Source organism: Homo sapiens, chromosome 2, assembly GCF_000001405.40.
Source record: "Homo sapiens chromosome 2, GRCh38.p14 Primary Assembly".
In the NCBI taxonomy this organism is placed as follows: domain Eukaryota; kingdom Metazoa; phylum Chordata; class Mammalia; order Primates; family Hominidae; genus Homo; species Homo sapiens.
In genome coordinates, this window is record NC_000002.12 from 110,934,157 (window position 1) to 110,958,132 (window position 23,976).

The 23,976-nt window shown below is 42.6% G+C and overlaps 1 protein-coding gene across 29 annotated transcripts in view; it reads left to right on the forward strand.

Annotated features, from left to right (window-relative positions):
• Positions 1-23,976, forward strand: part of ACOXL (acyl-CoA oxidase like) — a 385,976-nt gene that overhangs the window by 201,584 nt on the left and 160,416 nt on the right. The window lies entirely within an intron of this gene.

The window sequence follows — 23,976 nt, forward strand, 5'->3', positions numbered from 1 at the left end:
CTGAGAGCAGCTGGATCTGTGTGCAGCTGTGAGAACAGAAGCCCTGCAGGACTCTGCAGGTCTCCACACCCATGCGGGGGTCCAGAGCCCATGACAAAGTGAACCCAAGTTGGGTGTCTGAGGGCAGGACACGCAGCATGAGGCTGTGGACCTGTGACATGGTGGCACGGCAGGACTGCAGGATCAGCTGTGCACTTCATTCGAATGCAAGCCAGATGTGGCAGCTACTGGAACTCCAGACCACACCCCCAGAGGAGAATGGAAGGAGGGAGCCCCTGTTGGTCTTTGGTCTGAATTTAATGCTGAACTTCATCAAATATTTGCTTATAAACAGCACCTCTGAACATGAAGGGGAAGATGAAGAGTTTTAGCTTCAGAAGAGAATGGATCAAGGGCAAGTCAAGGGCAGCTGTAGAAAATAAAAGGGAAAGGATGAGTTTCTGGAAAGCCGATTCCCTGCCATCCGTGTGGAGCTAACGGATGGCACAGAGGGGCAATGGTGAAGAGGGGCTGAGCCTTCATAAGAGGCAGAGCTGCGGGCACAGCCTGAGGGCCTCTCCCATGTGATCCATGGTGTTTGTCCACCTGAAAGCTAGCATGATCATTTCTTTTAGGTGGCTAAGTGAAGATGTGTCCCTGATGATGGTGGGGGGTGGGGCATGTCTGCTTCATTCCTATGGGGTTGTTGTGTGGGGTCCACATGGAAAAGAAAGGGAATGGAGAATGAAATAATAGCTGGCCTAGGGTGCAGCTGGCCAGGAGCTGAGGTCCTCCAAGGCAGCTGGGGCAATGGCGCGATGTGACTCTCCTTAGCTAAGGAGGGCCCTGCCAGGGGGCTGGTTTCTACCTGCATCTCCAGGAGGTGGCTGTCCCTTCAGTGAGCAGGCTGGGAGCAGCTGGGAACACAGCCCAGGGATTCGGGGGTAGAGTAAGGAGGTTAGGTCAGCAGGTGGGGGGTATGACCTGAAGTGGCCCCTCAGGCAGGGACAGCCCACACAGTGGGGTGTTGGGGCACTGCTGGGGGCCCTGAGCTCAGACACTGTGGCCTTGACAGGTGACTCAGCCTGAGGGCTTGCGCAGAACCTCTTGCAGGCTCCTGGTCCTCTGGGCTCCCGTGACTCATTCCCTTTCTCGCAGTTCACAGGTGGGCAGGCCCAGGGGTCTCTCACCCCCAGGCCTTCATAGCCTCCCTGCACAGAGACCCTCCTGCACCCCTCTTGTCATCCTAACCCTCATCCCTTCGTCCTGGCCTCAGTGCTTGTTCTGGGAGGCCGTATTTCCCCAGGGTCAATGCTGAGCCCTGGCAGTGCCACCCGGAACAACCGCCCTCGCCTGCTCTCCAGTGATCCAGCCTGTCATGTTCACCTGTGCTGCCGAGGACCACCCAGCAGTGCGGAAATAACCCCACCCTGTTAGAGAAGACGCAGTCCATGCTGGAATGCCAGCCCCCCAGGCACGCTGCCTCACAGAACTCTGCGCCCAGTAGCTCCTGAGCAACCTGGGGCAGAGGGCCCTAAAAGGCAAATGCTGTGTCCTCTGCTCACAATAATTCTGACACCAGATGTGTGGCTTTTCCATAACAACCAGTCCTCTAATTCTCTGTGGACACTAACAGGGTGCTCTGCAACAGTGGCCTCCAACCTGTTTGGCACCACGGACTGGTTTCGTGGAAGACAATTTTTCCATGGATGGTTTTGGGGGTGGGGGGTGCGGGGTAGGGGAGATGTTTTCGGGATGAAACTGTTCTGCCTCAGATCCTCAGGCTTTCGATTCTCATGAGGAGCGTGCAGATCTCTCACATGTGCAGTTCACAATAGAGTTCACGCTCCTATGAGCATCTAATGGTGCTGCTGAACTGACAGGAGGTGGAGCTCAGGCAGTAATACTTGCTCCCACCACTTACCTCTTGCTGTGTGGCCCGGTTCCTAATAGGCCATGGTCTGGTACTGGTCCATGGCCTGGGGATTGGGGAACCCTGCTCTACAATTTAATTTATTCTGACGACTACCTGGAGTGCATGCAGACTCCACAGATTAAGGCCTCAGTTCCATAAGTCTTCCCCCAACTTTGGATGCTAGTCACAAATAGTGGTTCTCTGGGTTACCCGCACTGTTATTATTATTATTATTGAGACAGGGTCTCACTGTCACCCAAGCTGAAGTGTAGTGGCACAATCACAGCTCACTGTAGCCTTGAACTCCTGGGCTCAAGCAATCCTCCTTCCTCAGCCTCCCAAGTAGCTAGGACTACAGGCGCATACCACTACACTGGCTAATTTATTTTTTGTAGAGATGGGGATCTCACTGTGTTGCCCAGGCTGGTTTCAAACTCCTGGCCTCAAGTCATCCTCCCATCACACCCTCCCAAAGTGCTGGGATTACAGGTGCGAGTCATGGTTCCTGGTCTACCCACACTTTTGCCTAACCTGTCTATAAATCAGGAGTTCCCATGACCCTCTCCTTAGGTTCAATAATTTGCTAGAACAGCTCACAGTACTCAGAGAAACACTTAAATGTTTACTGGAAATAATTAAGGATACAGATAAACAGCCAGATAAAGAGATACATCGGCTGAGGTCCAGAAGGGTTCTGAGCACGGGAGCTTCTGTCCCTCTGGAGTTGGTGTGTACCGCCCTGCTTGGCACAAGGATGTGTTCACCAGCCTGGAAGCTCTCTGAACCACTTATTTTAGGGATTTTTTTTTTTTTTTGAGATGGAGTCTTGCTGTGTTGCCCAGGCTGGAGTGCAATGGTGCAATCTTGGCTCACCACAACCTCCGCCTCCTGGGTTCAAGCAATTCTCCTCCCTCAGCCTCCTGAGTAGCTGGGATTAAGGCATGTGCCACCATGCCCAGCTAATTTTTGTACTTTTAGTAGAGATGGGGTTTTACCATGTTGGTCAGGCTGGTCTCGAACTATTTTAGGGATTTTTATAGAGGCTTCATCGCATAGGCATGATCAATTATTAACTCAGTCTCTAGCTCCTCTGCCCTTCCTGGAGGATGGCAGGGGTTTCAGGGAGGGCGATAAAAGCTGTGAGCTTCTAACCATGGCTTGGCATTTCTGATGACCAGCCCCCATCCAGAAGCTGACCAGGAGCCCACTAGGAGTTGCCTCATTAGAACAAAAGATGCTCCAGCACCCAGGAAATACCAAGAGGTTTAGGAACTCTGTGTCAGGAACTGGGGTAAAAGAGTAAATTTAGAACAAAGAATGCTTCTAGCACCTATCACTCAGGAAATAAAAAATGTTTTAGGAGCTCTGTGCCAGGAACCAGGGATGAAACACGATGTACATTTCTTATTAGATCACAGTATCACGGCCCTGATTTCCATTTTTGTTCCTTCCCTTCTCCTCTCCACTCCCAATCCACTTGACACCTAGCATGGAGATATTTGTAGAGACACAAATATTTGTTGAAAGAAAAGAATGAACATCTTCTAATTGTTTTAAGCTCATATGCATACATGCTGCATCTTCAGGTTGGAACTCCCTGGGAGTGAAGTGTGGACTTGAGTCTGGGGGCTACTGAGAGGAAACCAAAGACCATCTCTTTTTTTGGGTTGTAGGACTAGGCACATCTTGCTTCAAAAAAATATATTTCAACACACATTTACTGCCTTTGAAGCCAGTAATCCTGGGCATGATTTTGGGCCAGTTATTCCCACCCTATGCCTCAGTTTTTCCTTACATAATATGGAGATAACAAACCTTCCCTTGTAGAGGTTGTGGGAGTTAAATTCTATGCGACAAAGAGCATCAAATGCTCAACACATAGACTCAGGAAGTAGGAGTTGATGTTTCCTCGATGTGCCCAGGCTGGGGATTTGGAGAAAAGAGATACCACATGGTCTCTTTTGCTTGCCATTGTACCAGGTAGACAGGTGGCTGCAGAGCCCAGCACGACGAGGCAGGCCCTGTGCAGCTGCAGGGGCTCAGAGTACTCAGTGCGAACTGTGGAGGGTCCGCAAGCAGTGCCACTTGAGCAACTTAAGGAATGAGCAAGAGCCTTCCAGGTGGGGCTGGAGGACCTGCTAGGCAGGGGAACCTGAACTCAGGATGAGGGTGTGGGAGTCTGTGGTGCACTGAGGGACACCATGACAGGCATGGGCTGGGTCTCAGTGAGGATGCAGGGGAGGAAAGGAATAAAGGGAAAAAGCGGGAACCAGACCTAGAGAAGGCCCGGAGCCTGTCTGCACAGCTGCCTACAGCAGGCACTCTGTGGTGCCTTCAGGCCCCAGCACCACATGGTGCAGCTGATCCAGTGCACAGAGGCTCAGCCTGCAGCACTGCAGCATGGTGCTTGGCACATATGGACACTTCACGTCAGCTATTCTCACTTATTTCCATTTTACAAATGAGTAAACTGAGGCTAGACCATGAGGGCAGTGAGGGCAGGGACCAAGTCCTTGATCACTACAGCCTAAGTCTGACTGTTGTGTGGAATATTCAGGAGATAGCTGTGGACTGAGTGATGACCAGCTGACAGACAGATGGACAGATAGACTGATGTGCACAGACATTGAATGAATGAATGAATGAATGAACGAATAAATGAATGAATGAATGAATGAAAGAATGTCCTGTGCATCTGTTTTCTTTCTTACCCTTAAAACTTGGAATTAATCCACAAAACTTGGCCCCCTTGATCTTTTCTTGCTTTATTATTTTTTTACCCTGAACACTTTTTTTTTTTTAAAAAAACATGATTTTATTGTTACTTTTGGAGGGAGAAAGAACACTGTATTGCCTACAGACTACTCATAATGAGAGCAATGATGACATTCATTAGCTTTAAAACCTGCACAACCCATATTGACAGCTCATTTGTTGGGGACAGATTTTTATGTTAGTGTGTCTAGTTTAGGAGATGGGGACTTGAGAAGAGGGGAGCATGAGAAATTATTGTAAAATTTACCAAGATATGGGTGCATCTTGCACCTAATTTTTGCCACTACTCTAAACATAGGGCCCTGTGAAATCTTTTTCCTCTCAACTGCTAACTTTAGTGTTTGTTGCTATAGCCTAAAATGAGCATCATCTGTGGAGGGCAGCTTCTTGGCTGAGCAAAGTCTATTTGAAATCACATTTATTGCATTATTTTTATCAATTACAAAAGTAATATATATCCATTGTAGAAAGTTTTGAGAATAAAGAAAAGCACAAAAAAGTAAATATATCCCAAAATTATACTTCTCAGAGATGATTCTTAACTGTCTGCAGTATATTCTTTCTGTGCAGTGGGTGTGTGTATTTGAAATTTTAGAACCCCCCTAATTTACCTAAGACTTGATATGGATATTACTTCAACTCTTTACTACAACCTTACTTTGAAGTAAAATTTTCATAGCCGGTACCATTTATCTTGTAGGTGTACCATAATGCATTCAATCAATTCCTCAGCTTATGTAAAATTGTTCCATTATTATAAACAACACTATAGAAAACATTCTAGTACCTTGGCACCTAACTTTTATTTTTGTGCATACCTGGGATTGCTTTTTGGGAATCAAGTATTTAAATCAAACCTGTCCAACCCGTGGCCCTCAGGCCTCATGCAGCCCTGGATGGCTTTGAATGTGGCCCAACACAAATTCATAAACTTTCTTAAAACATTTGGGATTTTTTTGCAATTTTTAAAATTAGCTCATCAGCTATCATTAGTGTTTGCGTGTTTTATGTGTGGCCCAAGACAATTCTTGTTCTTCCAGTGTGGCCCAGGGAAGCCAAAAGATTGGACACCCCTAATGTAAATGATGATTGGTATTGTCAGTACAGGTTAAACCAATTTCCACTCCCACCAGCAGCTGAACACAGAATGCTTAATTAGTTTCTAGACCAGTGGTTTTCAAATTATTTTGACCTTAACCTGAAGTAAAAGGTATGCTTTCCTTTACAAATCTTTACAACCCAGTATTTACAAAGACACATGTATGAAATTGAAAAAAGGAATTTTATGAAACAGTACCGGCCTCACTATTGTGAGGTGCTCTCATATTTTCTTATTTTGTGTCATCTTTTAAAAAGCAAGTCATGATACAGTAAGTTGATTTCATGACCTGCTCATGTGTTGTAGCCTACTGTTTGCAAAACACAGCCCAGACTCACTGATCAAACAGAAAGGGTCTTGCTATATATAGTTGAGAGCTGCAGGTCATCAGAGTGTGTCTGTGGTGATCAAAAGAAGCTGGAGTTTCCGGGGAATAGATTTCTCAGCCCTGCTAGAAACCAAAATCTGGCTTCTGTTGAGACCAAAATATGATCATTTAGTTTTCACTGGAATGTTATTAATTTGGCCCTTGAGACTTAAGATTTGTATTTGAAAGTGGGAAAGAGATAAAGGCCTCCAAATGTCTCCTGAGCATTGACACAGAAAGTGATCAGTTTTTTCTAACTGCTTGGTTTATCTTGGATCTGGGCGGAATGAGTGCACACAGCAGCCCCTCACGTTTGGCCTCACTGAGAATTCATGGTCCCAGCACTGCTGCTCTTGAACTCCTCTGTGGAAACCTTTGGATTCCAGGATTCTTTCTCTCCACAAATTGATGTTTCCATAACACTTGATGGTCAATTTTAATAACATTATCACTCTGTGTTAGGAAATCACGAGAAAGTCTTAAACTAGCTATTTCTACAGGAACCTTGGCAATTGTGCTTTCTTTGGGTTGAATGTTGCAAGAGTAATATTCTGTTACTTAAGGAACGTTCTTAGCAGTGAGGTAGACACGTGCAGAGTACAAATAGAAGGGAAACTTTGGAATTAAATCATATTTTAGTCTTTTAACTCCTTTGTTTCTGAGTTCTAATTTTTCAAACTATCTTTACCTTTGTGGTATAATCTGTTCCTTTTTGTGCATAAAACCTGCGATAAATGAGATTTCACACAAGAAAGAAAAATTGTCCACAATATGATCGTTAAATGAACGATACTGGTTGGAATTTTCATAATTCATATTCATGCAAGCACCTCATAGCCTCAATGACTGCTGATTAAGAATCATTGCTAAGTATTGCTAAATTCTCTTTATGTGCAGAACAGTGTACTAGGTACATGTTCCCGGGAAGCCAGGTAATTTGAGGGGCACTGTACACTGTGCATGGAATTGCAAGGCCCTGAGGTTTCAGCATTAGCAGACTTCTGATCAAGATGCAGCAACAGGCAGCAGATATACCCTCCTGACTGAAATAATCAAAAAATGGACAATATATGTATGCTAAACAGTTTGCAAGACACCGGACGTCACTGGACAGCTGCTGACATTCCCCTGTGCAAGCTTCCAGCTTCCTTATCTATGTTTGCAGCTCCATCTTTCAGGCTGCTGTTTGTTAGAAAAAAAATTATTTCTGGGGCTGTTTTTGTTAGAAGGGAAGTTTTGCTGAGGACTCATTTGCCCTCATATCTGCCTAAATAATTTCTATCTCCTATATCATTATGTGTAAAAGAACAAAGATGAGGATGACAACAGATTTCTCATTAGAAACAAGGCAAGTAAAGAGACAGTAGAATGGCATCTTTAAAGTACTAAAAGGGAAGAAAATCAATCTAAAATTCTATATCCAACAAAATTATGTTTCAAAAATAAAGGTATAACAAAGATATTTTCAGACTTGCAAAACTTGAGATAATTCATCACCAACAGATCTTTATCATAAGAAATATTAAAGAAAATTCTTCAGGCAGAAGGAAAATGATACCAGATAGAAATATAGATTTATACAAAGGCATGAAAAGCACCAAAAGTAGTAAGCATACGGATAAATACATGATGTTTTTAGCACTTAAATATCTTTAAAAGATAACTGCTTAGACAAAAATAATAACAATGTAGTGTGAGGTTTATAACATCCATGAAAATAGAATGCATGACAATAGCATAAAGGCCAGGAGAGAAGAAAAGAAAGTACACTATTGTGAGGTCCTTAGACTATGTGTGAAGTCATTTGCTATTATTTGAAAGTAGACTGTGATAAGTTAAAGATGTATAAGGTAGGAAAAGAAGAAGTATGGAAGAATGAAAAGATTATTCACATAGAAAACAAATAGCAAAATGGTATATTTAAACTTGACTATATTAATAAACACTTTAAATATAAATATCCCAATTCAAAGGCAGAAATTGTCAGACTGGATAAAAAAGCAAGACCAAATTATATGCCTACAAAAAACCCACTTCAAATAGAAAAGTATAAGTAGGTTAAAAATAAATGGATGGGAAAAGATGCACCATGTTAATGCTAGTCAAAACAAAGCTGGAGTGACAATGTTAATATCAGACAAAGTCGATTTCAGAGCAAAGAATATTGCCGAGAATAAATAACATCATTTCATAATGACCAGGGGCCTGTTCCTCAGGAGGATATTACAATTCTAAACGGTTAGGCACCAAATCATAATCCTATGAGGTGGCTACTTTGGTTATCTTCAGTTTACAGATGAGAAAGCTGATGTGGCCAGGCGCCATGGTTCACACCTGTAATCCCAGCACTTTGGGAGGCTGAGGCAGGTGGATCACTTGAGGTCAGGAGTTCAAGAGTTCAAGACCAGCCAACATGGTGAAACCCCATCTCTACTAAAAAAAAAAAAAAGTTAGCTGGGTGTGGTGGTGTAATCCTGGCTACTTGGGAGGCTGAGGCATAAGAATTACTTGAACCCTAAGAGGTGGAGGTCGCAGTGAGCCAAGATCATGCCACTGGACTCCAGCCTGGGTGACAGAGTGTGACCCTGAAAAAAAAAGGAAGGCAGGAAGGAAGGGAGGGAGGGAAAGAAAGAGAAAGAAAGAAAGAAGAAAGAAAGAAAGAAGAAAGAAAAGAAAAAAAAAGAAGAGTGGGAGGGAGGGAGGGAGGAAGGAAGGAAAGAAAGAGAAAGGAAGGAAGAAGGAAGGAAAGAAGGAAGGAAGAAAGAAAAGGAAGAAGGAAGGAAGAAAAGAAGAGAGGGAGGGAGGAAGGAAGGTAGGAAAGAGGAAGGAAAGGAAGAAGGAAGGAAAGAAGGAAGAAAGAGAAAGAAAAAGAAAAAGGGAGGGAGGGAAAGAAGGAAGGAAGGAAAGAGAAAGGAAAGGAAGAAGGAAGGAAAGAAGGAAGCAAGAAAGAGAAAGAAAAAGAAAAGAAAGGAGGGAGGGAGGGAAAGAAAGAAGGAAGGAAGGAGAAAGAAGAGAGAAAGAGAAAAAGAAAAAGAAGGAAAGGAAGGAGGGAAGGGGAAGGAAGAGAAAGAAAGAAAAGAGAGAAAATTGAGGCTCTGAGCAATTGGGTGGACCCAAATCCCATTAGGGGATTTGAAGTCTGATTTATCTGACCCTAGAGCCCACGGTGATATGGTGAAGCTACAACCAGAGGAGAGGGGGAAATCACCCCTGGAGCACCTGGGGAAGCTTCCCCAAGCAGGGTAAGTTCAGCTTTGCAGTACAGAATGAGCAGAAGTCACTGGGTGAATGAGACCCCCTTACTCTCTGCATTTGCACACAGGTCCTATTTCAGCTTTACACACCTCTTAGTGTTAGGAAATCCTTACCTCCCAAAGATGAGGTACTAAACTCCATAGGGCTTAGTGCTTCTGATACCCCAAACCTGACCTTCCTACGGATTCTCTGTGCTAATGAAAAGGCAGCTTATTGCCGTAGCAGACACAGCATATTTAGGGCCCCAGACCCAGGTATGTCCTGGCCTGGGGCTGCAGGGTCTTTTTGCATTTTATTTGTTTTTTTTAATAGTCAAAAGCACATCCTGTATGTGTAGATACCTTTATTAGTGCTTACGTGGAGTAACTTAGCTAATTCTCAAATTGAGTGAATACTATTATTAGTCTTACTTTACACAAGAAGGAAACTGAGGCCAGAAAGATTAAATAATTTGCCAAAGTTTAAGTGAGTTTAAGTGCTAAAAAATGGCAGAGCCATACTTTTATTTTTTTATTTTTATTTTTATTTTTTGAGACAGTCTTGCTCTGTTGCCTAGGCTGGAGTGCAGTGGCATGATCTTGGCTTACTGCAACCTCCACTTCCCAGGCTCAAGCGATTCTCCGGCCTCAGCCTCAGCCTCCCAAGTAGCTGGCACGTACCACCACACCCAGCTAATTTTTGTATTTATAGTAGAGACGGGTTTCACTATATTGGCAAGGGTGGTCTTGAATTCCTGACCACAAGTCATCCACCTGCTTCAGCCTCCCAAAGTGCTGGGAGCCACCGTGCCAGGCCTCATGCTTTTTTTTTTTAAACTTTTATTCTAGGTTCAGGGTTACATTTGCAGGTTTGTCATATAGGTTATTTGTGTGTTATGGGGGTTTGGTTTACAGCTAATTTCATCACCCAGCTAATAGCATAGTCCTCAATAGGTAGTTTTTTTATCCTCACCTCCTCCCATCCTCAAGTAGGCCCCAGTGTCTGTTGTTCCCTTCTTTGTGTCTGTGCGTACTCAATGTTTAGCTCCCACTTATGAGTGAGAATGTGGTATTTGGTTTTCTGTTTCTGTGTTGGTTCGCTTAGGATAATGGCCTCCAGCTCCATCCTTGTTGCTGCAAAGGACACAATCTCATTCCTTTTTATGGCAGTGTAGAATTCCATGGTGTATATGTACCACATTTTCTTTATCCAGTCTATTATTGATGGGCATTTAGGTTGATTTTATGTCTTTGCTATTGTAAATAGTGCTGCCATGAACATACGCGTGCATGTGTCTTTATGGTAGAATGATTTATATTTATTTGGACATATAACCAATAATGAGATTTCTAGGTTGAATGGTAATTCTGTTTTAAGTTCGTTGATAAATTACCAAACTGCTTTTCACAGTGGCTGAACCAATTTACATTCCCACCAGCAGTGTATAAGTGTTCCCTTTTCTCTGCAACCTTGCCAGCATCTGTTATTTTTTTGACTTTTTAACAATAGCCATTCTGACTGGTGTAAGATGGTATCTCATTGTGATTTTAATTTGCATTTCTCTAATGATTAGTGATGTTGAGCATTTTTTCATATGCTTGCTAGCTGCATGTATGTCTTCTTTGAAAAGTGTCTGTTCATGTCCTTTGCCCACTTTTTAACAGAATTGTTTGGTTTTTACTTGTTAATTGTTTAAGTTCCTTCTGGATGTTAGACCTTTGTTGAATGCATAGTTGGCAAATATTTTCTCCCATTCTGTAGGTTGTCTGTTTACTCTGTTGATAGTTTCTTTTGCTGTGCAAATGCTCTTTCATGTAATTAGGTCTCATTTGTCAACTTTTTTTTTTTTTTTTTTACAATTGCTTTGGCATCTTTGTCATGAAATCTGTGCCAAGGCCTATGTCCAGAATGGCATTTCCTAGGTTATCTTCCAGGGTTTTTATAGTTTTAGGTTTTATATTTAATCTTTAATCCATCTTGAGTTGATTTTTGTATATGCTGTAAGGAACGGGTCCAGTTCCAATCTTCTGCATATGGCTAGCCAGTTATTTCAGCAGCATTTATCGAATAGACAGTCTTTTCCTCATTGCTTGTTTTTGTCATCTTTGTCGAAGATCAGGTGATCAGAGGTGTGTGGCCTTCTTTCTGGGCTCTCTATTCTGTTCCATTGGTCTATATGTCTGTTTTTGTACCAGTACCATGCTGCTTTGGTTACTGTAGCCTTGTAGTATCATTTGAAGTTAAATAATGTGATGCCTTCAGCTTTGTTCATTTTGCTTAGGATTGCCTTAGCTATTCAGGCTCTCTTTGGTTCCGTATGAATTTTAAACTAGTTTTTTTTTTTCTAATTCTGTGAAGAATGTCATTGGTAGTTTCATAGGAATAGCGTTGAATCTGTAAATTGCTTTGGGTAATATGGCCATTTTAACACTATCAATTCTTTCAATCCATTAGCATGGAATGTTTTTCCAATTGTTTGTGTCATCTCTGATTTCTTTGAGCAGCGTTTTGTAATTCTTATTGTAGAGATCTTTCACCTTCCTGGTTAGCTGTATTCCTTTTTGTGGCATCACGTTTTGTGGCATAACATGTGAACGTTAGCTTTATTCTTTTTGTGGCAATTGTGAATAGCACTGCCTTTCTGATTTGGCTCTCAGTTTGAACGTTGCTGGTGTATAGATGCTACTGATTTTTGTACATCAATTTTCTATCCTGAAACTTTGCTGAAGTTGTTTATCAGCTCTAAGAGCTTTTGGGTAGATCCTACGAGGTTTTATATATCTAGAATTATGTTATCTGCAAACAGAGATAATTTGACTTCTGCCCTTTCTATTTGGATGCCTTTTATTTCTTTCTCTTGCCTGATTGCTGTGGCTAGGATTTCCAGTACTATGCTGAATATAAGTGGTGAGAGTGGCATCCTTGTCTTGTTCTGGTTCTCAGGGGGAATGGTTTCAGCTTTTGCCCACTCAGTATGAAGTTGAGAGCCATATCTTAAACCCAGAGACTATGTCCAAACTCATGCTCCAAACCATTTTGCCATATGAAAATTGAGTTGTGTTGGCTTCTGCCCTCTCTGCTTCAGAAAATAGTAGAGTCCTCCTTAATGGGATGAGCACAGTTTGGCTCTAACTTGTAATTTTCCAACTATCTGAATTTGGGTAAGTCCTCACTTCCCAAGCCTCAGTTTCCAGGTGTCCATAGACATGCTTTGCTGAGCTGCCCCGTGGTTAGTGTTAGCTGGAGGGGACCTTCTCATGGCGGTGGAAGTCAGCCACCAGGACCAGACCCTTCTTTTCCTATTAGTCTTTCTGAGATTTCCTGCTGTTTCCCCCTGTTGTCCAGCTGAGAGAAGTGAGGTGGGATTTGGTTAAATTACTCACCCCAGTCCCCTTTGGTGAGTCAAGGAGAGGCTGGAACTGGAGTTGGCAGAACTCTGCTCTTGGCGTGCAGCTGTGACATTCCCAGTGGCCAGTGCTTCATGCTTACACATGTTCTGCATTTCAGCCTCTAATCGCAGTATGTAAGGGGAGAATCAAACTGACCTCCTTTGAACGTGTTGAAAACCCTTCACCTGCCCTTGTGGGAACACTGCCTGAGAGCCGAACTCTGCTGGCTCTGATTAGTCATGTGACGCAGGCCTGGCAGTTTCGCTTCGTTTCCCACTTTCTTGCTTTAAGGATTGGGTGGGGTCAACCAAGTTCTTCAGACTGTTGATATTTAGTTCTGCTTTCACATTGCCTCTTTTCTCCATATTCAAGCAAACCTAGATTGAATTTCTAAAATCCTGAGAGAATAATAGGGGAAACAGCCCTGGATCTTGCATTTCTGCCTTACAGTGGAGAGGGGGCATTCTAAGAGATGGGACAGGTCCCTTGTCATGGAAGGGGAGCTGCTGGCTTTGGTGTGGTTGGAATCTCATGGTCAGGGCTCTGTGATCTTGGACTTTACCACTGGGAGCCTCAGTTTCCTTCTCTCTTAAGGCCCAGAACATGGTAGATATTCAATAAAACTTGATTCTCTTTCCTTTCCCTTTTGCTGGTTGTAGTAACAGATCACACTGAAAGATCCGAACTCTTTCCCCTTCCCTTCTCCCCCTCTGCCTCCAGGACCCATTAGACATGGGAGCTGCCTGGTTGGGGTTCCTTGGGTGTGGCTTGGGACCATGGAAGAAAGCCATCTTCTCGGCCACTGCTGACACCAAAGCATGGGGGTCTACAGGTCTGGGACCAGAACACACCACAGGGTCTCCACTGCCCCTCCACTTGGGAGAGCTGGAACTCAAGCCCAGCTGCTGGCCTTGGCCCTGCACAACCACATTCTTTACAAGGACCTCCTGCAGTGTCTCCTGGCCCTTGTGTTACCTGAGCCCGGATGCCCATGGCCAGGGCCGGTGCCCTCCATCTTGGCTCCTTTGAAACCAACACTAGAAGGTGCCACTCTCGTGTCACCGTGCCCTCAGGGCCAGTCTCCACAGCAGGACTTTGTCTTCCCACATCAGTGGAGACCCTTCTCATCTCTGCCCCCAGCTGCCCTGTTTCTCCTCAGTGCGTTCCAGAATTTCACAAAGAAGAACAGAAACAGCCAAAGCAGGGTGAAAAAAATATCTACAAAATTGGAGCGCAGTGAAGTCTCGAAAAAGCTCTGCAACCTAGCACAATGATAAGGTTATCAGCAAACATGCACTGATCCCTCCTTTCACGTTAGACGCAGAGCTGCTCTTTGCTGCTTGGAGATGTAATCCATCCGGGCAGCGACTGAGCGATTATATTTAATGATTGCATAGGGAACGCTGAAGCAATTCCAAGTGTTTGTAAATTTTTTCAGAAAGTGATGTGAGGCAGAGCCCTCTGCTTATTCAGTAGACTTTGTCCCAGGACTAACTCCTCAGGGACATTCAACACCACCTCATTTATCTGGCATCAGCCAACCCTTGGAACAGAGCCAAGGCCTGAAATAAACAAAACAGATCTCTGGGAATCACAAAGAGATGTTGCAAAGCCCACGTACTGGAGCTCAAGCCCTTACTCCACTCCTGAAGGAGCCTGTGGCCTCTGTTCCTGCTTGTTCCATGTGGCTTCTGGTTTCTGTGGGCTGTAGAGGAAGGGCAGAGGGATTGTGAATGTAGACAGCTAAGACCACTCAGGAGCCAGGGACCAAGGAAGATCCAGAAGAACTAAAAAAAAAAAAAAAAAAAAAAAAATAGACTGAAAAATCCAAAAGCACAGTGGGCTCCTGCTCAGCCCTAGGCGGGACTCGAAGCTCGTCTGGAACAGTCCTCCAGGCAAAGTGGGCACCAGGCAAGCAGCAGACTGGTGCGAGCAGAGACAGTCATTCGGGGGTCTCCCCTCCAACCTGGATGCTGCAGAGTTACTATTCATTGGAATAACATAGATGGTGTTTGTTTAAATACCTCACAGCAACCCCCGAGACACGTACATTTCACTACAGACCAGTAGGTCAGCTTGACTTAGATCTGATGTGGCAGAGGCCCTTTTGCTCCCTATACAATTTCTTAAGAAGCAGAACCATGAAAAATTCTGGCTGGTGCTTGGGTCATGAATAGCTGAGTCCAGCTGGCTGGGATTGCATTTGTGGGCAGGACAGGGTCGAGCTGAGCTTCACCATAATGCCAAGTGACTTGTGGGTAGGGTGGAAGAAGTTCAGGCATGGTCCATACTCAGAGGGTCCAAGGCTGGATCTGGCAAACCTCCCAAGAAGGATCTGTCTGGGGTCCAAGTGTCAGTAAGGCCCCCTAGTAGAAGGGCCTTCTCAGTGGTTACTGTGACAACTTTATCAGCCAGACTCTTTGCTCAAGAGTCTCATTTTTCCCGGGCATCAACTGGTTTCTGACCAACTCCCTTTCTATTTTATTGGTCAGAGATCTCTTTCTCTGGAAGGGTTGAGAGCCATCAAGAAAAAACCCCAAAGTTCTGGGGCTCTGGATTAAAGCCTAGGCTTCCCCTTTCCTCTGCTGTTACTTTCTGAGAATTCTGCTGACCCTAACCTATTTGGCTATAGGGATTTACAAAGACAGACGATAAAAATCACCTTGTGATTATAAATGATTCAACTTTGAAAGAACCTTGCTCCAAGATTAGAGGAATCAGCTCTTATTTTTTTTTAAAAAAATCATTTTTGACTCCCTGACATTCTCTTGAGTCCCTGCTATGAAGAAGCACTAGGGACATGTATAGATGCTGCCACCTTTAATCCTCCAATAGTCCTGTGAGTAGGAGTTATTATCCTTATAGTTTTCCCATGGAAGGACGAACAAGGCCAGAAGTGAGATGTTATTTCTCCAAATCTACTGAAAGACAGAGGCAAAGGTTCTACAGGCCTTCCAAACTAAGGCTATTATCCCTAATTCAGGACCTTGTCCCCTTTTTTGGCAGGTGATAACTTTCTTCCCTGGCCCTCTGGGTTCCATGTTAATGAATGTTCTACACTTAACCCTCATTTAACATAAGTCCTTGGCTTTTAAACAATCCTCTGTCTTTTTTTTATTTTTATTTTTATTTTATGTTATTTTATTATTATTATACTTTAAGTTTTAGGGTACATGTGCACAATGTGCAGGTTAGTTACATATGTACACATGTGCCATGCTGGGATAGCATTAGGAGATATACCTAATGCTAAATGACGAGTTAATGGGTGCAGCACACCAGCATGTCTTTTGATGTTAATTTGTGGTTACTGGAAAAAATCGCTCCCCAGTGAGAAAGTCCGTATGTCATCTTTGTGAGTGTCCTAGGTTAGTAGGTCCTATCTTGTCAGGCAAATTAGAGGGGGAAAGTAGCCAGCAGTAAAACTGACCTTCATCACTGATAAGGAAAAGAGAGATTGCTAAAATGACCCAGGGATAATCCATTTTATTTGGCAACATTCCTTTGAGGGTCTCAGCCCAAAATTTTTAACGGCATAAACAAGGCAATTATAAATTTCATAAGGAATGGATAGCGGCCAGACATATTAGAGAATAATGGACAGAACTGGCATAGATCCTGGGCCAATTTGCCAAATTTTGATCCACGGTATGTTGTTTAACTTTCTCATTTTACTCTCCCTTGGGCCAGTTCAGTCCAGAAGGATTCACCCCATATCCCAGCAAGGAAACAAGAAGGTTGGTGGCAGGGAGATGAAGTTTTACAAGTTGACTTCTGAATTTGTGATCATCTTACATCTTAGTTAAGATTATTTTGGATGCAAATAAAAGAGATCAATTATAAACTTTCTCCAGCAAGAATGAAGAATCAATCTTAAGGAGGAAGGGTGGGGGGTGGAGAGAGAGAGAGAGAGAGAGAGAGGGAAGTTCTGGAATTTAGCTCTCATGAGAACCAGGGACTGGGAAGGGGTCTGGAGTCCCCGAATCTGTGCTAGAGGGTCTCTCTCTCTCTCATAGTCTGAGCCTTTGCACCTCTTGGTGTCTGCCCATTCTTGCTCTTCTCTGCATTTGTGACTGTCCATTTGGAATTTATAGCATCTCTTTTCCAGCCACACTCTGAGATGGTGTTTCTCAGATCAAATGCTGAATCTGCATCTCAGTTGAGTCAGAGTCCTCTCCAACTCAGCCACTTCTGGTTAGGGAATGGGGTCACGTGTTATGAACGTGCCAGCGGACGTCCCATCTCTGTAGGTGCTAAGACAGTTCCCAAAAAATAGCAGCTGAGTAGATATCTATTATAAAGTGTGTGGTAGTTTTGAAAATATTTTCTAATACTTTGAAGCTGGTGTATAGAAATGGAGTTTAATTTTGTATGTTGATCTTATAATCAACAACCTAGTTAAAGTGCCATATTAATTCTAACGATCTGTTTGTAGTTCTTTTGGGTTTCCTATGAAGATAGTCCTATCACCTGAGAAAAATGATAGCTTTGTTTCTTCCTTTCCAATCATTTACATTTGTTTCTTTGCCTATATTATACAAGTGGCAAGAGTTTCCAATGCCATGGTTAATTAAAGGAAGTGGTTCATAACAGGCACCTGTATTTTATCCTTGGCTTTAAAAGAAATGTGTTTACTATTTCACCATTAAGGATATTATTCGGTGTGGGACTTGTGCAGATATTCTCTATTATGTTAAGGAAAAGCCTGTTTTACTCTTCCTTTATAAACAGTTTTGTGCATGTGTGCATTTATTGAGTGGTTTTAAAATTAAATATATTCATTTTATGGAATTATTTATCTGCATTTATTTTATTGAGATGATTGCACATTTTCTTCCTTTTAATCTGTTAATGTGATGAATTTACATTAACAGATTTTCTAATGTTAACAAATCTTGAGTTTCAGGATCTATACAACTCAGTCATGATGTATGTGTGTGTATTTAAAAAGCTGCTGATTTCATTTGGTAATATTTGTTTAGGGTTTTCTGCTCTGTGATTATGAATGAGGTTGGCCTCTGCTATTCCTTTCTAGGGGTGTCCTTAACCTAGTTTGGATATCCAGGCTACATCACTCTCATTAAATGACTTGAGGGTGTTTCTTATTTTTCTGTTCTCTGGAAGAGTTTGTATAGAATTGAATTATCTGTTCCTTGACTATTTGGTACAAATATAATGATAAGGCTAAACAGACCTTGTGGTTTCTTTCTAAGAACATATAAAATGATTGGTTTTGTTTCTTTCCTTGATATAAGCTATTCAGGTTTTCTGTTCTTGAGTCTGTTTTGCTAATTTTTATTTTCCTAGTAATTTGTTCATTTCTTCTTAGTTTTAAAATTTATCAACCATAAAGTCCATGATACCCTTTTCTCTTTTTAGCCCCTGTTGTATGGGTATTTATGCCCCTTTGCCATTCCTAATATTGTTTGTTTTCCACAGCCGCCTTGTCACTTGATCTATTTTGTATATTTTTTCAAATAATAAGTTTTTGGCTTTGTTGATCCTCTCCACTATATCTGATTTTTCTATTTCATTGATTTTTATCTTTATTACTTCTTTTCTTCTGAGACAAGGTTTCACTGTGTCACCCAGGCTAGAGTGCAGTAGCGTGATCGTGGCCCTTGGGCTCAAGAGATCCTCCCTCAGCCTCCCAAGTAGCGTAGCTGGTATTACAGGTGTGTGCTATCATGCCCAGCTAATTTTTAAAATTTTTGTTGAAATGGGGGTCTCACTGTGTTGTCCAGGCTAGTCTCAAACTCCTGGGCTAAAATGATCCTCCTGCTTCAGCCTCCCAAAATGTTGGGATTACAGGAGTGAGCCACCATGCCTGGCCATTACTTATTTTCTTCTACTTTCTTTGGGTTTATTCTCCTGCTCCTCCTATAGTATCTTAATTTGAATGTTATCTTCTCCATTTCTCTTTTTCTATTATAAACACTTAAAATGATAACTTTTCTTTTTAAATGCTGCTTTGGTCATATCAACCATGATTTGATATATAAGATTTTCAGTTTATTGATTCTAAATTTATTTTAATTTCCATAGTGACTTTATTTGACCTATGAATTAGTTGATTATGTTTTTCAGTTTCTAATGTCTGGTGTTTAAAAAATATAGCCAACATTTGTTGAATTCTTACTATATGTCAAGTATCTGTCTTCACGCTCTACATTCATTAACATAAATTCTCACAATGGCCCTATAGAGAAGGACTGTTCTGATCCCAATATTATGTATGTGAAAAATGGGACACTGGGAGTTTAAGCAAGTTACCCAAGATCACACAGCTCCTGAATTGGCGGAGCTGAGATTCAAATCCAGGCTGTTTGACTAGGGAGTATAACTACCATACACTAGTGGCTTTTTTTTTAGTCACAGTTCTTGTTGTTGTTATTATCATTATAATTACTTTTATACATATATATATATATATTTCAATTAATTCCATCGTAGAGAAAATGGCCCGTGTCATAAAGATCTTTTGAAATTTTTTTATGGCCTGCTCTGTGGTCTAGAGGCTGGTCAGTTTCCATGTATGCCTCAGAGGAGTGCGTCTTCTGCAATTGGATGCAGGGTTTCAAAGGAGACCAATAGATCAAGCTTCTTAGTGGCATTATTCAAATATGCCCTATTCTTACTGAGGTTTTGGCCTGTCTGATCTATCAATTATTGAGAGATGTGTGCTGAAATCTCCCACTGTTGATAGTGGATTTGTCAGTGTATTCGTCCATTTTTACACTGCTATAAAGAACTACCTGAGACTGGATAATTTATGAAAAAAAAAGAGGCTTAATTAACTCACAGTTCCACAGGCTGTAGAGGAAGCATGGGTGGGTGTCCTCAGGAAACTTACAATCATGGCAGAAGGTGAAGGGGAAGCAATTATGTCTTACCATGGCAGAGCAGGAGAGAGAGAGAGAAGTCGGGGGGAGCCACACACTTTTAAATGATCAGATCTCGTGAGAACTCACGCATTATCATGAGAACAACAAGGGGGAAATCCACCCCATGATCCAGTCACTTCCCACCAGACCGCTGCTCCAGTTGGACATGAGATTTGAGTGGGGACACAGATCCAAACTATGTCAGTGTCTCTTTGTAATTCTATCAATTTCAGTCTCATTATTTTGACATTGCATTATTAGATGTTTGTAAGTTTTAAATTATATTTTCCTAGCGAATTGAGTATTTGACCTTTATGTAGTTGACTCCCTTTATCAATAGCAATGCCTTAAAATGTATTTTGTCTAATATTAACATAAGGACAAAAGCCTCCATTTGATTGGCATTTACCTGTTATATGCTTATAGTTTCAACTTTTCTGTGTTATTGTGTTTATGTGTCTTATAAACAACATTTGCCTATTTTTAAAACTGAATCTACCTTGACAATCTCATTTTTATCTGTTTAGTCCCAGTAGTTATTGTCATCACTGATATATTTGAATTTATGTTTTCCATCTCTTATTTTCTATTTGTTGAGTCTTATCTCTGCTTGTTTGGACTTACAACCTTCAGCTTTATGGTGTTTATTTTCCCTTTTCCATTTTTCCCTTTTATGTTTTCACTCTACTTATGCTTATTTTGTGGCCACCCTAGCAATTTTAACATGCACATTTAACTTACGAAGTCTGAAGTGAATTATTAGCATTCTTTTCTCCCAATAATAGAAGAGCTTAGATTGCTTTAACTAATCATGAGCTCCCACCCTCTAAACTATTGTTGTCCACTGCTCCAGTACTGTGTTTTCTGATCCCACAAATTAGCCATCATGTTTATTATTCTATGGAATCATTTTTTCTTTAGAGTTACCACCTTTTACCAATTTCTTTGCTCACAATTCCTTCTTGCATCTCTGTAGTCATTTCCTGGTTTCTGGGGTACTTTCTTCTAAACACCATTTAGTGTGGTCTGTAGTTTTTGTCTGAATCTGTCTGTTCCATCCCAGTCTATAGAGGTTACATATTGTTCAGTATAGAATTCATTGTTGATAGTTATTATCTCTTAGCACTTTGAAGTTTTGCTTATCTGGATTTCCTTATTGCTGAGGAATCAGCTATCTAATAGTAATTTTTCATGGCAATCTGTTTTTTCTTTCTGTTTCTTTTTAAGTATTTTATTTGTTGTCATGACCTATGGTTTCACTATAATATGTATAAATATAAATTTGGTTGTATTTTTCCTATTTGGATTCATTTGAGGTTAGTAAGTACGTGGATTTGTGTCACTAACAATTCTGTAACATTTTAGGCCACTCATTTTGAATATTGTTTTCCATGTTCTTTGCATTATCTCCTTCTAGGCGTATTAGGCTGATATCAATATCTGCTGCCTCTGCAGTTTTGATTCTGTTGATTTTTTAATCTTCTGCTTGTCTTTTATTTGCCCTTGTGTTTTGTGAGCAGCCTGTGAATAAGTAGGTGGATGGTGCAGTGCTGACTGCCTCTTTCATTCTCAGCCCTCAGCAAGCCCTTCACTGTCTGCCTCCATCCCCCACCCCCAGCTAGTCCACCTCCCTCTCTCTCTCTCTCTCTCTCTCTCTGTCTCTCGCCACCTATGGTCTGTGTTCCACTAAGCAGCTGGAGTCATCTTTTAAAATCACAAATCATCTGACTCCAAAGCTTAGAATTTATTTTTAACTTTACATTGCACCTAAACTAACATAAAATAAATCCCCAAGATGGCTGCTGAGGCCCCTGTGACTTGACCCCTGTCTGCCCCCAAAGGCTTCTCTTCAGGCCCCTCCCCCTCACTCATCACCTCCAGCCCAGCCTTCTTTCCAGGCCCTGGACATTCTGTACCCCTTCATGCCTCAGGGCGTTTGCACAGGCTGCTCTCTCAGCTGGAACAAGCGTCCTCCCATTCCCAGATTGGCTGAATTCCCTTCTTTAAGTTTCCAAGTTAAGCAAGCCCTCTGAAAACCTTCTCTGGCATCCGGGTTGGAGGAGGTCTCTCTTGCTATTTATTTTCTCACAGAACCTCCCTGCCCCCATCTTTTCCTTTCTGGAACTTGCCACAGATTTTTTTTTTTTTTTTTTTTTTTGAGATGGAGTCTCGCTCTGTTGCCCAGGCTAGAGTGCAGTGGTGCAATCTCAGCTCACTGCTATCTCTGCCTCCCAGGTTCAAGCAATTCTGCGTCAGCCTCCTGAGTAGCTGGGATTACAGGCAAGTGCTACTACGTCCGGCTAATTTTGTATTTTTAGTAGAGACGGGTTTGTTGGTCAGGCTGGTCTTGAACTCCTGACCTCGTGAACCACCCACCTCGGCATCTCAAAGTGCTGGGATTACAGGAGTGCCACAGATTTTTAATTACCTATTTTATTTGTCCACCTGGCCAATGTCTGTCTCTCTCATGAGGACAGGGCCATGGCTGTAGTTCACTATGGGTAGCGTAGTGCCTAAGATGGAGGGAGCCTTGGTATGCATTTGGTGACAGGATCCATGAAGGAACTCTTTTCTGCCCACTCTGTCCAGCGAATAAGTCCTGAGAGTGCAGGGCAGCAGCGATAGGGTCCCCTCAAAGCATGCGGCAGGATGGGGCAACCTGCCATCACTCCACTGGACTCAGAATCCTGAATTCAGGAGACCCAACCCAGATCTCAGCTGTCACGGGACAGGTTGCAGTGACTCTCCATGCTCCCAGATCCCCTCACATACGGTTTCTGCACCACTGGGCACGGTGGAGGTCACAGGCATAAAGTTAGTGCCACCCGAAGACACGGTGCCTCCTGGTTGGTGGGTCAGTCTCTGTATTTTTAACTGGCCTCCTCTAACACATAAGATAAGATTGATTTAATCTGTTTTGTCTTTTTCAAATTAACAGAATTTCTAATTTGTTCTGATACCTTTATTAAATGTAATCATATAGTGAAAAATTCAGTGATGTTAAAAACAGCAGGAAAATATTAAACTTGCCATATACAAAGTTTGGATCATAAAATATGTTTCATGGGGCTGTCACTGAAATGGGACACAACCTTCATGACACTCACAATAGTTGCTAAGAGGCTCGATGTAACCCAGAAGGCAGAGAGCGGAGGAGCTGTCTACCGAGTGAGCTCTTGCTTCCCAGAGCCCAGGTTCTGGCGCTTCCCTCTCTGAGGATTCTGCTGGTGTTTGGAACATGGGTTTAGAGTTCCCTCTGTCTATCCCATGTTTCTTTCTCTCCTGCTTAGGAATAAAGTAAGCTCACGGAAAATCTTACTCACTTTTTTTTTTCGGATGAATCTGTTTTTTCTGCTACCACCCTTTTTTTTCCTACCACCCATCGACCCCACCAAGAATATACAAACAAATATCCCCACTCTGGAGTCCAATGTAGAAAGGAGAACAATTTCATATTGTAATGAAAACCTAAGGTGCTACTTACTGAGTGGCTTGAGTTGATGGCTTAGGAAAGGACTTCCTCAGACTCCAAAAGATTTGTTCATGTTGGAGAAGCAGTTAACATTGATTTATCTCTGGTCAGGAACAGACATGGTTTGAGCTAACACTTCCCACACGCTGTATTTGTCTGTGCTGGCTGCTATACGAAGTGCCATAGACTGGGTGGATTACACAACAGGAATTTCTTTTCTCACAACTCGAGCTGGAAGTCTGGGACCCAGGTGTGGGCAGGGTTGGTCTCTTCTGAGGCTCTCATCCTGACTTGTCGATGACCATCTCCTGCCTGTGTCTTCACACGTTCCTCTGTGTGTGTCTGTGTCCTGATATCCTCTTATAAGGATGCCAGGCAATATTGAATTAGGGCTGCTCAATTACCTCCTTTAATCTTAATTACCCCTTTTAAGGTCCTGTTTTGAAATACAGCCACATTCTGAGATTGTGGGAGTTAGGACTTCAACATAAGAATTTTGTGGGGGACCAGGGGTGCTGGCTTATGCCGGTAATCCTAGCACTTTGGGAGGCCGAGGCGGGCGGATCACCTGAGGTGAGGAGTTCCAGACCAGCCTGGCCAACATGGTGAAACCCCGTCTCTACTAAAAATACAAAAAAAAAGGCGGGCATGGTGGCGGGCGACTGTAATCCCAGCTTACTCTGGAGGCTGAGGCAGGAGAACCTGGGAGGCGGAGATTGCAGTGAGGCAAGATCACGCTGCTGCACTCCAGCCTGGGTGACAGAGTGAGACTCCGTCTCAAAAAAAAAAAAAAAAAAAGGAATTTTGAGAGGACACAATGATGTAGCCCATAGTACCTGCATATGCACGCGCATGCATACAC